Genomic DNA, 18,305 nt, shown 5'->3' with positions numbered 1-18,305 from the left:
CAAACCTTGGCAGCTTCCACATGGTGTTGAGCTTGTGGGTACACAGAAGTCAAGAATTGTGGTTTGGGAACCTCTGCCTAGATTTCAGAGGATGTATGGAAACACTTGGATGCCCAGGCAGATGTTTGTTGCAGGGGTGGGCCCTCATGGAGAACCTTTGCTGGGCAGTGTGGAAGGGAAATGTGGGGTCAAAGTCTCCACACAGAATCTCTATGGGGCACCACCTAGTGGAGCTGTGAGAAGAGGGCAACCATCCTCCAGACCCCAGAATGGTAGATCCACTGTGCACCTGGAAAAGCTGCAGACACTCAATGCCAGCCCATGCAGGGGGAAAGTAGCCAGGAGGGGGACTATACTCTGCAGAGCTACAGGGACGGAGGTGCCCAAGACCATGAAAACCCATCTCTTGCATCAGCATGACCCTGATGTGAGATGTAGAGTCAAAGGAGATCATTTTGGAACTTCAAGATTTGACTACCCTGCTGGATTTCAGATTGCACGATGCCTGTAGCCCCTTTGCTTTGCTCAATTTCTCCCATTTGGAACAGCTGTATTTACCCAATGCCTATACCCCCATTGTATCTAGAAAGTAACTAACTTGTTTTTGATTGCACAGGCTCATAGGTAGAAGGGACTTGCCTTGTCTTGGATGAGACTTTGGACTGTGGACTTTGGAGTTAATGCTGAACTGAGTTAACACTTTGGGAGACTGTTGGGAAGATATTATTGGTATTGAAATGTGAGGACATGAGATTTTGGAGGGGCCAGGGTTTTGGGGAACCTGCCCTGAAAATCACGTAGGTTCTTTTCTATTTTCCTAAGTGTTGGCTGGCTTGAGAAATAAAGGGACAGAGTACAAAAGAGAGAAATTTTAAAGCTGGGTGTCCAGGGGAGACATCACACATTGGTAGGATCCATGATGCCCCACAAGCCACAAAAACCAGCAAGTTTTTATTAGGGATTTTCAAAAGGGGAGGGAGTGTGCAAATAGGTGTGGGTGACAGGCATCAAGTACTTAACAGGGTAATAGAATATCACAAGGCAAGTGGAGGCAGGATGAGATCACAGGACCACAAGACTGAGGCGAAATTAAAATTGCTAATGAAGTTTCGGGCACCATTGTCATTGATAACATCTTATCAGGAGACAGGGTTTTGAGATCAACCGGTCTGACCAAAATTTATTAGGCGGGAATTTCTTCTTCCTAATAAGCCTGGGAGCGCTATGGGAGACTGGAATTTATTTCATCTCTGCAGACTTGACCATAAGAGACAGGTACGCCCCGGGGGTCCAGTTCAGAGACCTACCCCCAGGTGCGCATTCTCTTTCTCAGGGATATTCCATGCTGAGAAAAAGAATTCAGCGATATTTCTCCCATTTGCTTTTGAAAGAAGAGAAATATGGCTCTGTTCTGCCTGGCTCACCAGCGGTCAGAGTTTAAGTTTATCTCTCTTATTTCCTAAACATTGCTGTTATCTTGTTCTTTTTTCAAGGTGCCCAGATTTCATATTGTTTAAACACACATGCTCTACAATTTGTGCAGTTAATGCAATTATCACATGGTCCTGAGGCGACATACATCCTCCTTGGCTGACAGGATTAAGAGATTAAAGCAAAGACAGGCATAGGAAATCACAAGGGTATTGATTGGGGAAGTGATAAGTGTCCATGAAATCTTTACAATTTATGTTTAGGGACTGCAGTAAAGACGGGCATAAGAAATTATAAAAGTATTAATTTGGGGAACTAATAAATGTCCACAAAATCTTCACAATCCACGTTCTTCTGTCATGGCTTCAGCCAGTCCCTCCGTTTGGGGTCCCTGATTTCCCACAACACCAGGGGTGGAATGATATGGTTTGGCACTGTGTCCCCACCCAAATATCATCTTAAATTGTACTCCTTTAATTTCCATGTGTTGTGGGAAGGACATGGTGGGAGATAATGGAATCATGGGGGTGGGTCTTTTCTCTGCTGTTCTTGTGATAGCGGATAAATCTCATGAGATCTGATGGTTTTATAAGGGGGAGTTTCCCTGAACAAATTCTCTCTCTTTTTGCTTGCTGCCATCCATGTAAGACATAACTTGTTCCTCCTTGCCTTCCTCCATGATTGTGAGGACTCCCCAGCCATATGGAACTGTAAGTCCATTAAACCTCTTTCTTTTGTAAATTGTCCAATCTCAGGTATGTCTTTATCAGCAGTGTGAAAATAGACTAATACAGGTGGAGTGGCTGCATCGGGGTCCCAGGCCAATGGGCTTTGCCTGTTGATGTGCAGCAGAGGTGAAGTCTATAGTCCATCTACTCAGCACCAAGGATGCAGCTCCTATCCTGAGAGCGCATGAGATAGGCTGGCCTCCCTTGTTGTTTGGAGCTATGGAAGCTGGCTTCAGGGTACTTAGGGATCTAAGACCATTGGGGCTCCATGTAGGCTTCAGTGGCAGATCTACCCAGCTTTCACAAAACTCTCCATGTTAGTCTGGAGGCTCTAAAGAGGAGGTCAAGGGGATCTTCTGTGCTAAGGATTTCAAAGACTCATGGCAGAAGTATGGGTCCTGAGATGCTCTTGCTCACTTACTCTATCCTCTTGGTGGGGAGCCACTCTTGGTGCCATGCCAATCCTGGGTGTGTGCTTTTCCTGCCTTACTTCTCTCTGAGCTCCATGGGTCACTATTGCTTATTTGATAAATCCCAACATTACCTCCTGGATAATCCATTTGAAGAGCTAGTGTTTACTTCTCATTCTATCTCCTCTCCATGAGAGTGGCACACAATAGCTGCTTCTAGTCAGCCACCTTGCACCTCCTCTGTGTTTGTTTAAGTAAAGCCACCCCAGCAATCTTTTGTTTACCATTTGCATGAAATACCTTTTATTCTATCCCTTCACTTTTAGTCTGTGTGTCCTTAAATCTCAAGTGAGTCTCTGGAAAACAGCATATAGTTGGGTCTTTTTTTAAAAAAAAAATCTATTCAGTCACTCTATGTCTTTGGATTAAGAATTTTAAACCATTTATGTTTAAAACAATTTTTGCTAGCAAAGGACTTACTATTGCTATTTTGTTTGTTTGTTGTATTAGCCTGTTCTCGCACTGCTGATAAAGATGCCCGAGACTGGGCAATTTACAAAAGAAAGAGATTTAATACACTTACAATTCTGAGTGGCTGAGGAGACCTCACAATCATGGCAGAAGGAAAGGAGGAGGAAGTCATGTCTTACATGGATGACAGCAGGCAAAGAGAAAGAGCTTGTGCAGGGAATCTCCCCCTTATGAAACCATCAGACATCGTGAGACTTACTCACTATCACAAGAAAAGCATGGGAATGACCTGCTACCATGATTGAATTACCCACCAGGTCCCTCCCACAGCACATGTAAATTCAAGATGAGATTTGGTTGGGGACACAGCTAAACCACATCATTTGTCTTATAGTTCTTTTGCTCCATTTACATCTACACTTTTAATTCCTCTCCTATTTTATGTTATTTACATCATAATTTACATATTTTTATATTATGTATCCATTAACATTTTTTAGTTATGTTCTTAATACTTTCGTCTTTTTACTTTTATACTAAAATAAAAAATGATTTAGATACCCTCATCACTTATTACAGTATTCTCGACTTTTCTGTATTTTTACATTTATATAGAAAGTTTATACTTTCATATGTTTTTGTGTTACTATTTAGCATCAGTTTGTTTTGACTTATAGAACTCCCATTAGCATTTCCTGTAAAGCATATCTAGTGGTAAAAAACAAAGAAAACACTATCATTTTTTGCTTGTCTGGGAAAGGCATTCTTCATTCATCATTTTTAGAAGACACTTTTGCCAGATTTAACATTCTTAGTTGGCAGAGTTTTTTTTTCTTCTTCAGCACTTTGAATATATCCGCCCTTTTCCTTCTGGCCTGCAAGGTCTCTGCTGAGAAAACCACTTGGTAGTCATACAGGGACTCTCTTGTGCATGAAGAGTCACTTTTATTTTGCTACATTTAAAATTTTGACTTTGTTTTGTCTTTTGATGATTTGATTATCATGTATCTTGGTATAGGATTCTTTGGATTTATCCTATTCCAGGCCTGTTGACCTTTTTGAATTTGGATGTCCATTCCTCTCCTCAGATTTGGGGAGATCTATCAATCTGTCTATCTATCTATCTATCTATCTGTCTATCTATCTATCTATCTATCTATATATCTATCATCTATCTATCTATCATCTATCCATCCATCTGTAGATATAGATGGATAGACACTATATATAATATCTATAGATTATATATAGATTATAGATTTTATATAGATTATATCTCTACTTATCTCTATATATTTATCTATCTATATAGATAGATATCTCCCCTAATCTGAGAGGCTTATATATATATAGTTTGTATAACTATATATATAGTATAACTTTATATAAACTATATACATAGTTTATTAGAGTTATTTGAGTTATAATATTTAGAGTTTTAATTATTAGAGTTTTAATACTCAGAATGCAATCTTACATTTTATTTACCTGAGTTCATATTATTAGTGTCTCCCTTTCCCTACTGCTATTGTTTGGATATTTGATCCTCCAAACCTCAAGTTGAAATCTGATGCCCAATATTTGGGCTGGAATCTAATGGGAGGTGTTTGGATCGTGGGGCTGGATTTCTCATGAATGACCTGGTGCCATTCTCTCAGGAGTGAATAAGTTTTCATTTATAGATCCTACACAACTGGTTGTTGAAAACAGCCTGGCACCTCTTTCTCTCTCTCTCATGGTTTTCCACTCATCATGTAATTTCTGCACACATGGATTCTTATCCCCTTCTATCACAAGTGGAAGCTGCTTGAAGCCCTCACCTGGAGCAAACTGTGGTACCATGCTTCTTTTGCAGCCTGTGAATTTATGAAGGAAATAGGTTTATTTTACCCAGCCTCAGGTATTCTTTTGTAACAACGCAAACAAAATAATACACCCACATATTGCCTACAGCATTCACACTTCAGTTCTTATGAATCCTAAGACATATGATATAACTTTTACTACCTAACCTTATAGCAGTGTGTGTCAGTCTTATAGCCATGATAATCTTTTTGTTTTTTTTGAATAGGGCTATTATATGTTTTAGGTAATAAGAATGAAGACTTTCAAAAATGTGATTTATTATTTTATTTCTAGGTAGGTAAAATCGTTTCTGTAAAACTTTAAAACATTTCTTTTACTATTATTATTATACTTTAAGTTCTAGGGTACATGGGCACAACCTGCAGGTTTGTAACATAGGTATACATTTGCCATGTTGGTTTGCTGCACCCATCAACTTGTCATTTACATTAGGTATTTCTCCTAATGCTATCCCTCCCCCAGACCCCCACCCCCGAAAAGGCCATGGTGTGGGATGATCCCCTCCCTGTGTCCATGTGCTCTCATTGTTCAACTCCCACTTATGAGTGAGAACATGTGGTATTTGGTTTTCTGTCCTTGTGATAGTTTGCTGAGAATGATGGTTTCCAGCTTCATCTATGTCCCTGAAAAGGACATTAACTCATCCTTTTTTATGGCTGCATAGTATTTCATGGTATATATGTGCCACATTTTCTTTATTCAGTCTATTACTGATGGACATTTGGGTTGGTTCCAAGTCTTTGCTATTGTGAACAGTGCCGCAATAAACTTATGTGTGCATGTGTCTTTATAGTAGCATGATTTATAATCCTTTGGACATATACCCAGTAATGGGATTGCTGGGTCAAGTGGTATTTCTAGTTCTAGATCCTTGAGGAATCACTGTCTTCCACAATGGTTGAACTAATTTACACTCCCAAGAACAGTGTAAAACTTTCGTATTTCTCCACATCCTCTCCAGCATCTGTTGTTTCTTGACTTTTTAATGATCACCATTCTAACTGGCATGAGATGGTATCTCATTGTGGTTTTGATTTGCATTTATTTGATGACCAGTGATGATGAGCATTTTTTCATATGTCTGTTGACTGCATAAATGTCTCCTATTGAGAAGTATCTGTTCATATCCTTTGCCCACTTTTTGCTGGGGGTGTTTTTTTCTTGTAAATTTGTTTAAGTTCTTTGTAGATTCTGGGTATTAGTTCTGTGTCAGATGGATAGATTGCAGACATTTTCTTTCATTCTGTAGGTTGCCTGTTCACTCTGATGATAGTTATTTCTGAGGCCTCTGTTCTGTTCCATTGGACTATATATCTGTTTTTGTACCAGTACCATGCTGTTTTGGTTACTGTAGCCTTGTAGTATAGTTTGAAGTCAGGTAGTGTGATGCCTCTAGCTTTGTTGTTTTTGCTTAGGACTGTCTTGTCTATGCAGGTTCTTTTTTGGTTCTATATAAAATTTAAAGTAGTTTTTTTCTAATTATGTGAAGAAAGTCAGTAGTAGCTTGATGGGGATAGCGTTAAATGTATAAATTACTTTGGGCAGTATGGCCATTTTCACAATATTGATTCTTCCTATCCATTAGCATAGTATGTTCTTCCATTTGTTTGTGTCCTCTTTCATTTCATTGAGCAGTGGCTTGTAGTTCTCCTTGAAGAGGTCCTTCACATCCCTTGTAAGTTGTATTCCAAGATATTTAATTCTCTTTGTAGCAATTGTGAATGAGAGTTCACTCATAATTTGGCTCTCTGTTTGTCTGTTATTGGTGTTTAGGAATGCTTGTGATTTTTGCACACTGATTTTTTCCAACATAGGGACTTTGGGGGGATACATTCAAACCATATCATATGTCAATGAAGCCTCAAAAAGCTGTTAAAATTTGTGATTTAATTAGCCACATTTGCAGGTCTAGACTATTAAAAGCATTCAAGATATTTGCAAAGTTACTGAAGTCATGTGCCATGATTAAATATAGTATATGCTCTGGATATGGAAGAGGAAATGGAAGCACTTGTGTTATGTTGTCAGTATTCCACATGATGTGACTGCTACAAGGATTCCATTTGCTCCATGTCATCTGATCCAGTCATAGTGAAATGCAGTAGAATTTACAGGCCATTTAAAAGGATAGGGTAAGGTACTTTGTTGAGAAAAAGAAGTCTAGGCAGGCAGATGATTAAACAGTAATATTTATATCTAACTTTCACATCTTTCATGATATTTTATAGTCATCTTGTAATGAATCTTTCTTAAGTCACAATTGTCATGATTTTATTGAAACATAATTGGTGCTCAAGAAGCTTAAATATTTTTAGAAGAAATGATGGGGCACTTCCAAGATGGCCAAATAGGAAAAGCTCCTGTCTACAGCTCCCAGGGAGAACAATGCAGAAGACAGGTGATTTCTCCATGTCCAACTGAGGTACCTGGTTCATCTCACTGGGACTGGTAGAGACACAACAATAGAAGAGAATTTTAGGCCAATGTCCCTGATGAACATTGACGTGAAAATCCTCAATGAAATACTGGCAAACCGAACCCAGCAGCACATCAAAAAGCTTATCCACCACATTCAAGTTGGCTTCATCCCTGGGATGCAAGACTAGTTCAACATACACAAATTAATAAATGTAGTCCATCACATTAAACAGAACCAATGACCAAAGCCACATGGTCATCTCAATAGATGCAGAAAAGGCCTTCAACAAAATTCTACAGCCTTCTATGCTAAAAACTCTCAATAAACTAGGTATTGATGGACCATATCTCAAAATAATGAAAGCTATTTATGACAAACTCACAGCCAATATCATACTGAATGGGAAAAAACTGAAAGGATTCCCTTTGAAAACCGGCACAAGACAAGGATGCCCTCTTTCACCACTCCTATTCAACATAGTATTGGAAGTTCTGGCCAGGGAAATCAGGCAGGAGAAAGAAATAAAGGGTATTCAATTAGGAAAAAAGAAAGTCAAATTGTCTCTGTTTGAAGGTAACATGAATGTATACTTAGCAAACCCTATCGTTTCAGCCCAAAATCTCCTTAAGCTGACAAGCAACTAAAGCAAAATCTCAGGATACAAAATCAATGCAGAGAGAAATTCCTTCTATTCTTATTTGGTGGAGTTGTTTTTGTTTTTTCAGGAATGGAAGTTGAATTTCAACAAATACTTTTCTACATTTATTGATATAAACATTCTTTTTCTTTGGCTGGTTTGATAATGTGATAAATCACATTGATTCATTTTTGAATGTCAAAACAAGATTTATTCCTGATATAAATCCAATTTGATCATGATGTGTTGTCCATTTCACACAATGTTGAATTTAATTTACTAAGAACTGGCTAGGAATTTTTCCATGTATGTTCATAAGGGATATTGGTCTGTAATGGTATTTTTGTAATATTTTTGTCTGGCTTTGACAAAACTCATAAAATGAGTTGTAAGTATTCTCTTCTTTTCAATTTTCTAGAAGAAATGAACAATTTGTGTATGACCATTACTTTTCTAGTTTTTAAAATGCTTGATAGACCAGTGAAGCCATAAACTCCAGGCTTGAAGTTTTCTTTGTGGGAAAGTTTATAACTGGAAATTCAATTTCTTCATAAGATAAAGGGCTATTCTGGTTATCTATGTCTTCTTGAGTGAGCTTTGATAATGTGGATCTTTCAAGGAATTTGCCCACTTTATTTAAGTTGTCAAGTTTAGCGTTGCAAAATTGTTTATTAAATTTAGTGTAAAAAGTAATTAAAGTTAAATTAAATGTAAAATTCTCAATCACACTAGCAGATATTGAGGATAATCCTCAATAAATACCTGTGGCTCTTCACTCCTACATTGGACAGCACAGATATAGAACATTACCATCATTGTAGAAAAGTTCTGTTGGCAGCTCAGGAGATGATATTAACAGTTAATTTAAGTGGCATGTATAATAAAACTCATTCTTGTATGTTATTAATTAGGGTTTAAGATTGGGAATAAGTCAGCTCAAGCTAAGAAGTGAGATTTGTCTGCAAAATCAATTTAGTCCTACAAAGGTTTTCATTTTTAATTATACTTTTAATCTGGAAGGTAGAAATTAGATCCACATACTTATTTGCAGAGATTCAATTCCCTTTTAGTGTAGGCTTTATCTAAGTAGACAGTACTTTCTGCATTCAGTAGGGCAAGTTGCAGAGTGAAGATGTCCTCCCCTACTTGACTTGGTGAAGCCTAGGAAAGAAGGAAGTATATTTAAAACAAAAACCATTACCATAGATCTTCTAATCATGAAGTTCTACCCTTTGAGAAAAAATGTCACTCTGTGAGTATTCTGTAGCTCTGTAAAGTCTTTTTCACAGAGAATTTTTCTGACTCATTGCTGAAAAAGATGGTTTGGTATGTATTTATACTGAAATATGGATATGCTTTAGCTATCCTGAAACCTACAAATCAGAATTTCCATGGTGAAACCATCATTTGTTATAGGGAATGATATTTTAATGGGTTAGGGAAATTCAGAAAGCTGCCCTGAGAAGAATTTCCTCTTTGTCTTGCTTGCATTTCTAAATGATTTGTTTCAAGTGGTTTGCCCTGTTGATGAGTATGTGTTCTGATTGTTCACACCAAAGCAGAGATAATCAATTAAATGTAACATCTTGACCTAAAGAATTGGTGTTTTTTCAGGACTGGTCTTATGGGAATGGAAAAAAATCTTTACAGTTTAGGATTGGTGAGAACCTTTACTTTTCTTACCTGGAAGAGTAATCAGAAGCTCTTTTTCTATTCATTTGATTAACATTGCTTGATAGCTTTGTTTTTTAGCGATCCATATTTTCATACCCAGGAGATTTGCTCTGAAAAACTGAGTATTTATTTTCCATGGTGTTGGGTAATTTAGAGCTTATTTGGGACAAAACAGATTTGGGCTTGAATGTCCTTAGCTATGTTATTCAGTGGATCTGACCCTCAATTCCTGAACTCTAAAATTGGGGATTAAATAAACCTTATGAGAAGATAGTAAAAGCACAGTAATTACATGCCTGTAACTTACTGTCACACAAATTTGTATCCATAAAGTTAGGTGTGCCAATTTCTTAGCAAGTTAATCTTGTAAGCATATAAATCTAAGTATCCTCATTTGTATAAGCACACACACACATATATCATATGTAATCATATTGCTATGTAGATTAAATGTAATAGCATTGTAAAGTACTTAGTACAGTGCCTGGTTTAAAAAATGGAACATATCCTTGTTTTTATCAGTAGCTTATTGGCAAGTAGATAACATACTGTAACTGAAATTTAGTAGATGCTTGACAAATTTTACTTCCCTTTCATTCTCCTCATCTAACCCATTACTTTTAATTCAAGTTTTGCTTTATTAAAACCAAATACTTTCAGCTCTTTGTATATATATTTTTTACTTTTCATCTTTTTCTTTGTTCCTTTCTTTCTTTTTCTAGTCAGATTAGACTAATTACTTACAGAAAAATCCACAGATATTATTTTACGGGTATCCAAACTTGGAATTTTAGACCTTGTCTATATGAAAAATTTTCAGCAATTTTTATCTGTACATAACTATACATTGCAGAAGTTGTTTAAAAAAGCAGTGCCTGAGCAAGTCACACATGGAACATAGGAGAATGAAGGAGAAATACTATTGAACTATTACTTATAGAGCATAGTAACAAAAATGTTGTAGTTCAGTTTGCAATGTTGGAGACAAAAGACATTTTCACTTAGGATTCCCTTCCAGTCAACAAGTGACATTTAGGGATGTCAAACTGCGTTCCTATTATCAAATATTACAGAATTTTTATAGAAATGAGGACTATAGATCAGATGATCAGGTTAAAGAGGGAGTTGCAGTTTCATTAAATTACTCCTATGCTGTCAGAGAAAAGAGAAAGTTGGAAGGATTATACTCTATAGAAACCAATGTTCAATATTATAACTAGTAGAAAAATTAAGCAAGTGCATAATCAAATAATGAGAATGTCAGATGAATAGTTATGAGATGAACAGAACATGTGGGGACCAGGATTCATATTGGATGCAAGTATTTTAATTTCTCAAGCGTGTCAAACCCTTTTATTAATAAAAATCCATAGTCACTCCCAATTTTAAAGTTTATTTTGAGTAGATTTCCTTGGTTATTGTACAATAATACAGTTTAGTGTTATGTTTACACTATACTGTAGTCTATTAAGTAGTAATAGCATTATATCTTAAAAACTGTAAATAATACATTTTTAAGAATCATTTTTTATTAATGAATCATTTTGATTTTCATAAAGTTTCAAATGAAAGAGGTTTTCTACACATTAGTATAAAGATATGCTTGACTTTATGGACCCTACAAACTTGTAATAGTCAGCAGTTCTGGTGCTTCAATATAGATATATTTTAAGTAGTCAACTTTGCTAGTAAAGAAATACATTTTGAAATAAAACAATATGCCTTGCTAAGTTATGAAATTTGCAAAAAATTATTTTTAAAGATTTTTTATGTATTTTTAAAAATAAATTTACTATATACTTAATATAATAAATAAATATATAAATAAATAATTGTAATATATTTATGATATATTAATTAATGTAAATATACCATAAATTTATAATAATATAAATAATAATACATAGTTACTATACATTAATATAAATGATCATATAAATATGATGATATATATACACTATATCATACATGCTTGTTTATAATAAATATTAAATACTGGGAAAAATAAAATATTAATAGTGGTTTTCTTGTAGTTGGAGGAATTATAGGAATATATGATAGATAAAATCTTTATAAATTGTTATGTTATCTACAGGAAAAGATGTGCTAATTTAAAATATAAAGAAGCAAACATTCTTAGAGAGAGAGGAAGAGGGAGTGCAGGAGCAATTCCAGTGGTCTAAGTAGGCACAACAGGTAGTCAGTACACTTTTCAGAATGCTGTTTTATCTCGGTTGATTTCCCTTATGAATCTTCTAAACCTTGCACATGTTTACCTTTGATTAAGTATAAGCAGAAATTTAGTTTCCTTGAAGAAATGGCTTTGCCTGATGATATGGTTTGGATCTATGTCTCCACCCAAATATCATGTCCAGTTGTAATCCCCAGTGTTGGAGGGGTAGCATGGTGGGAGGTGATTGCATCATGAGGGTGGATTCTTCATGAATGATTTAGCACTATCCCCTTGGTGCTGTTCTCCTAATATATGTCTCACGAGATCTGGTTGTTTGAAAGTGTGTAGCATGGGGCCCCTCACTCTCTCTTGCTCCTGCTCCCACGATGTGAGAAGTCTTGCTCCCCCTTTGCCTTCTGTCATGATTGGAAGTTTTTTGAGGCTTCCCCAGAAGCAGATGCAGCTATGCTTCCTGCATGGCCTGAAGAAATGTGAGTCAATTAAGACTAGCCTGACCAACATGGTGAAACCCCCTCTCTATCAAAAATACAAAAATTAGCTGGGCGTGATGGTGGGTACTTGTAATCCCAACTACTCGGGAGGCTGAGGCAAGAGAATAGCTTGAATCCGGGAGGCAGAGGTTGCAGTGAGCCGAGATCATGCCATTGCACTCCAGCCTGGGCGACAAAAGACAAACAAAAAAACTGTCCGTCTCAAAAGACAAACAAAAAAAAACTATTTTCTTTATAAATTACCCAGTCTCGAGTGTTTCTTTACAGCAATGAAAGAACATACTAATACACCTGATCTTCTATAATCTAGGATCAAGGAGAGCTGGTATTAAAGAGCTAAAACTTGGCCAGGCCCCAGGAACTTTGCTAGTGTAGCAGACTGACAATATCCTAGGTAATTGCATAGCTCTTGCTGCTCTCAATCTGGTTTTGCATCCAACGGGCTATGATAGTGCACCTGATATTTGAAGCTTTTATCATTCCAGTTTGCCTTTACAAACTTCCTAAAATGGTAACATAGGGTGGGAAATTCTGGCTTGAACAGCCATCCATTATTATCCCAGACATATTGTGGCTGCTGCCGGTAATGATTGCTGAGCTGTTCTATTAAAGGCAACATATTACTCCGCAAAGTTTATGACAGTAGTCTTGCTGAAACAAGCAAATACCTTCTATTATGCTAATGTTCTATTTATATAACAAATAGCTGGCCTCTGGCCCTGCTTTGTCCTCTTATGTGTGTCTGGGCTGTTGGGTTTGCATGTTGGTGAATATTTTTAGGCTCCTTAAAGCAGCCAGAACAGCAGTCAATGCAGGATCATCCTGACAGCCTGTTTTAGATCTTGACAGCCTGTTTTAGATCTTGACACCTGATGCTTTCTCTGAGTGCTTTATAAAAGCAGCATTTATAATTTCCATCCAGTCATAAAAATCTGACGTATCTTTTCAGAAGAGAGCTTTGCTATAAAGAGGGAAAATTGAAGTAAATTAAGTCAGGGAGCTTTTTGAGCCATCAAGTAAGATGTTGTATACCATCATGACATTTCAACCCACAACTTGGTGCTGAATCTTATCAATTGAGCTGATGAGCTGTGTCTGCATAAAAGTAAGAATACTAAGCTAGTCAAATACCTTTCTAAGAAGCTTGCCTTATCATAGTCTATTTTTCCAAGCACCTAATCAAGGGCATTTATTTCTCACAGTTGCAGTAAAAGTGGAAGTATCAATAAAGACCAATTGTTTATTAGAAATTGCTCAGTGTTGAGCAGAGAAATTTGCAGAAATCTTAAGCTTCATCCATTCAGGTATTCATAAAAGCTTCAGATGCCTTCATAATTAGAAGCTTATTGCAATTAAACACCAATAGTTTCTTTCTTTGCATGATTGCAGAAAGAAGGATTAGCAGAAATGGATAAATGAAAAATATTATAGTGCATAAACTAATTCTTAATGTACTTGCTCTGCTGTGTTAGTAACTGGCAGCTTTGTTTTGTCTCCAAATGCCCTTTCCAACTGTATTCATGAGGGAAAATATTTCCATGCATTTGGATTAAAACTTATGAATTTCCTCTGACTTTTCTCCTCACACTGAGATAAGAAATAGATTTATAACTTCTTAAAGTCTCAAATCTTTAGAGATTAGATTAGATAGCCAAGTCCAAGATATTATTTACACATTTCAATCGTGATTCAAAGGTAAGTGTCCTCCCTCCTTCCTATATCCCCAAAGTAAAGACTGAAGTTGTCTATAGGAATGGAGATACAGCCAGATCTTTCTCCTTTATTCCACTCACCTCTTTTGTCTTTCATACAACAGTGGGAAAAGTTAGTGTGGGGGCCATAGGCTCCTGGTCCCCTAAAGGTTTGCTAAAAATCACTAACATGATTAATAAGAGAAAAGGCATACAAATGTATTTAGCATAGATACATTGGAGCCTTTAGAATGAAAATCTAATTTCCCAAAGAGTTACAGAAACTTAATATACCATTTTGAGGTTATGGAATGAATGGGGGCTTACATTCTGGCCAGCAAAGGTGACCTTGTTATGTAGCGAAGCCTCCCCTAGAAAGAATAGATGGTAAATGTTTCTTTTCAGTCTTTTAAAGGTGTCAGAGTCTCAATCCCTCCCGGATCTGGGGAAAGGTGTAGAAAGGGAGGGGGCATGACTGTATTAGTGGAGATTATCTATAGATGGAAATTTTCCCCACTTAATTCAGCTTTGCAAGGCCACTTCTGTCAGGATGGCTAAGGGCAGCCATTTCAAAATATGTCAAAGAAATATATTTTGGTGTATTTTTTTAAAATTTCCTTCAATAGGAAGAGGAGATGAGAGGATAAGGCAATTTTAAATCATGACATCTTTGTGTGAAACATTATGTCTGTGATGATGAATCCTAAGTTATATTACTGGCTTGGATTTCTCCCTTAATCTCCAGACTCATATTTCAAACTGCCTACTCAGCATGCTCACTTGGATTTCTAATACTCATCTTAAATTTAAGATGTCCAAAGATCAACCAATACCTTTCCCCTAAAACTTCTTGCACCTCCAGTCTACTCAATCTCAGGGAATCATCTTTCCAGTTGTTGAGTCTTTGGAGTCATCCTTGATTCTCTCTTCTTTTCATATATTCAATTTTTCAGGAAATCTTGAGGATGCTGCCTTCAATATACATCCAGAATTCACAACTTCTACTGCTACTAGTGGACTCCAAGCCACTACAATCTCTCATCTATATTATTTTCTTCAACCTGCTCTCTTTGTCTCTACCCTTGTCCCTTTGTGCTTAATTAGAAGCTAGTGTGATCCTTGCTTAAAGCCCTAAAATGACTCTGTTTTACTCATAGCAAAAGCAAAGTTGTTAGAATGAACTATAAAGCCCAACATAATCTGGTCCCCATGATCTCTCAGACTTCATCTATGATTGGGTTTCCTTGCTGTATTAGCACAGCTACATTGGCCTTTTTCTTGTTCCTGAAGCATGCCAGGAAAATTTCCATCATTTGGGTGTTTGTACTGGCTGTTTCTTCTACCTGTGTGCTTACTTCATTATCTCCTTCAAATCATTCCTCAAATTGTTACCTTCTTTTACTAATGATGACTACCCTGTCTACCCTGGCATTCCTCATTCTCCTTAGTCTGACCTTTGTTTTTTTTTTCACTTTTTAAAATTATATTTTAAGTTCTAGGATACATGTGCACAATGTGCAGGTTTGATACATAGGTATACATGTGACATGTTGGTTTGCTGCACTCATCAACTCATCATTTACATTAGGTATCTCTCCTAATGCTATCCCTCCCCTAGCCCCCCATCTACCGACAGGCCCAGTGTGTGATGTTCCCTGCCCTGTGTCCAAGTGATCCCATTGTTCAATTCCCACCTGTGAGTGAGAACATGCGGTGTTTGGTTTTCTGTCCTTGTGATAGTTTGCTGAGAATGATGGTTTCCAGTTTCATCCATGACCCTGCAAAGGACAGGAACGTATCTTTTTTCATGGCTACATAGTATTCCATGGTGTATATGTGCCAAATTTTCTTAATCCAGTCTATCATTGTTGGACATTTGGGTTGGTTCCAAGTCTTTGCTATTGTGAATAGTGCTGAAATAAACATACGTGTGCATTTGTCTTTATAGTAGCATGATTTATAATCCTTTGGGTATATACCCAGTAATGGGATTGCTGGGTCAAATGGTATTTCTAGTTCTAGATCCTTGAGGAATTGCCACAGTGTCTTCCACAATGGTTGAACTAATTTACACTCCCATCAACAGTGTAAAAGCATTCCTATTCCTCCACATCCTCTCCAGTATCTGTTGTTTCCTGACTGTTTAGTGATCGCCATTCTAACTGATGTGAGATAGTATCTCATTGTGGTTTTGATTTGCATTTCTCCGATGACCAGTGATGATGAGCATTTTTTCATGTGTCTGTTGGCTGCATAGATGTCTTCTTTTGAGAAGTGTCTGTTCATATACTTTGCCCACTTTTTGATGGGGTTGTTTGTTTTCCTTGTAAATTTGTTTGAGTTTTTTGTAGATTCTGGATATTAGCCCTTTGTCAGATGGGTAGATTGTAAAAATTTTCTCCCATTCTGTAGGTTGCCTGTTCACTCTGATGGTAGTTTCTTTTGCTGTGCAGAAGCTCCTTAGTTTAATTAGATCCAATTTGTCTATTTTGGCTTTTGTTGCCATTGCTTTTGGTGTTTTAGTCATGAAGTCTTTGACCATGCCTATGTCCTGAATGGTATTGCCTAGATTTTCTTCCATGTTTTTTATGGTTTTAGGTCTTACATTTAAGTTTTTAATCCATCTTGAATTAATTTTTATATAAGGTGTAAGGAAGGGATCCAGTTTACAACCTTGTTTTTATGTTTGCCTCTACCATTAGAATAAAAGTTCTCCAAGGGCAACAATTTGTGTCTGTACTGTGTGTTAATGTATCTTTAGCACCTAAAATATTATTTAACATTGTCTAGAAACTAAATAAAAAATTATGGATTGAATTGGGTGATGTACATTTTTGGATTATTGAAAGCTTCCTGACACTAGAGACTTTTCTTCTACAGTTCCTTTGACCTGGACAGATGCATTCACTCTTGACTGCTAACATTCTCAGTAACCTATTATCTACTCTAACTTCTGCTGCCATGAATCCTCAATCCTCTGTACAGTTCTATTCATGAGGACCAAGATAATCTCAAGAGGCCCACATCTAGTTCACAAAAAACATTTCAGTCCTTGTCCCCAAACCCAAAATTGAAAATGCAGGTCAAACTAACTCTATCTTGCTTATATGGGCTGACTAACATTCTTAGGTGTGAATCAGACTGTGTTCTCCAGAGAGACATATCGAATAGGATGGTGGCTGTTATCTCTGTAATCCCTCCAGTAATGTGGTATTGCTTTCAGTTTAGTATTTTCCTTGGTAGAGACAGGTCTAGTGGCTTACACTTAGCCTTTCCTACCACAATAGCTCTCAATATACAGATGAGAAAACCAATGTGGGGATTCTTCCCTGGTTGCTCAGCATGTCTATACCAATTCTGAATTTTAAAACTGGGAAAATAAGCACAGGATAGTTTTGGGGATTATATAAATCAGGGTTCTCCAGAGAAAAAGAACGTGTAGGATGTTTGTTTATTTGTTAACACATTTATTTTTGAATTAGCTCATGTGATTGTGGAGGATTAGAAAGTCCAAAATAAGATAAGGGAGGCTAGCAGTTTGAGACTCAGAAAAGAGATGCAGTGTGAGTCCAAAGGCAGTCTGCTGGTGAACCAGGACTAGCTGATGTTTAGATTTTCCAATTTGGAAAACTCATTCTTAAGATTTTGTTCCTTTTGAACCACTCTGGGTACCAAAATCTGTATTAGTCCGAGTTCTCCAGAGAAACAGACCGATTAAGAGAGAGAGGTTGATGTTAAGGAATTGGCTCACAAGATTATGGAGGCTAGTGAATCTTAGCAAGAGTTGATGTTGTAGTATTGAGTCTGAAAACTGGAAACTCAGACAGAATCTCTATGTTGCAATCTGGAAACAGAATTCTTTCCCTGAAAAACTCCAGTCTTTGCACTTAGGCCTTTAATTGATTGGATGATGCCCACCCATATTATATAGAGTAATCTGATTTACTCAAAGTCTACTGATTTAAATGTTAATCACATTGATAAGGTTTGGCTGTGTCCCCACTAAATCTCATCTTGAGAGACCCAGTGGGAGGTAATTGAATCATGGGGGCAGGCCTTTCCTGTGCTGTTCTGGTGATAATAAGTCTCATGAGATCTGATGGTTTTACAAAGGGGAGTTTCCCTGAAAAAGCTCAATTCTCTTGTCTGCCACCATGTGAGATGTGCCCTTCACCTTCTGCCATGATTGTGAGGCCTTCCCAGCCATGTGGAACTGTAAGTCCATTAAACCTCTTTCTTTTGTAAATTGCCCTGTCTTAGGTATGTCTTTATCAGCAATGTGAAATGGACTAA

General features: G+C 37.0%; 2 long non-coding RNA genes across 8 annotated transcripts in view; one reads left to right on the top strand and one right to left on the bottom strand.

Moving 5' to 3' along the window:
- LOC124902645 (uncharacterized) overlaps positions 1-18,305 on the top strand; it is a 74,729-nt gene that overhangs the window by 41,075 nt on the left and 15,349 nt on the right. The gene's annotated exons all lie outside the window — the stretch shown is intronic.
- The window catches only part of LOC102723370 (uncharacterized), a 366,694-nt gene continuing 357,338 nt past the window's right edge, over positions 8,950-18,305 (bottom strand). For all 7 annotated transcript variants that reach the window (XR_007062619.1, XR_931110.3, XR_931111.3 and 4 more), the window contains one exon: positions 8,950-9,123. This is a non-coding gene — a long non-coding RNA (uncharacterized LOC102723370). The remainder of the gene's footprint in view (positions 9,124-18,305) is intronic.

This window comes from Homo sapiens, chromosome 11 (genome assembly GCF_000001405.40).
Source record: "Homo sapiens chromosome 11, GRCh38.p14 Primary Assembly".
Taxonomy (NCBI): Eukaryota; Metazoa; Chordata; class Mammalia; order Primates; family Hominidae; genus Homo; species Homo sapiens.
This window is presented reverse-complemented; position numbering and strand designations above follow the sequence as displayed.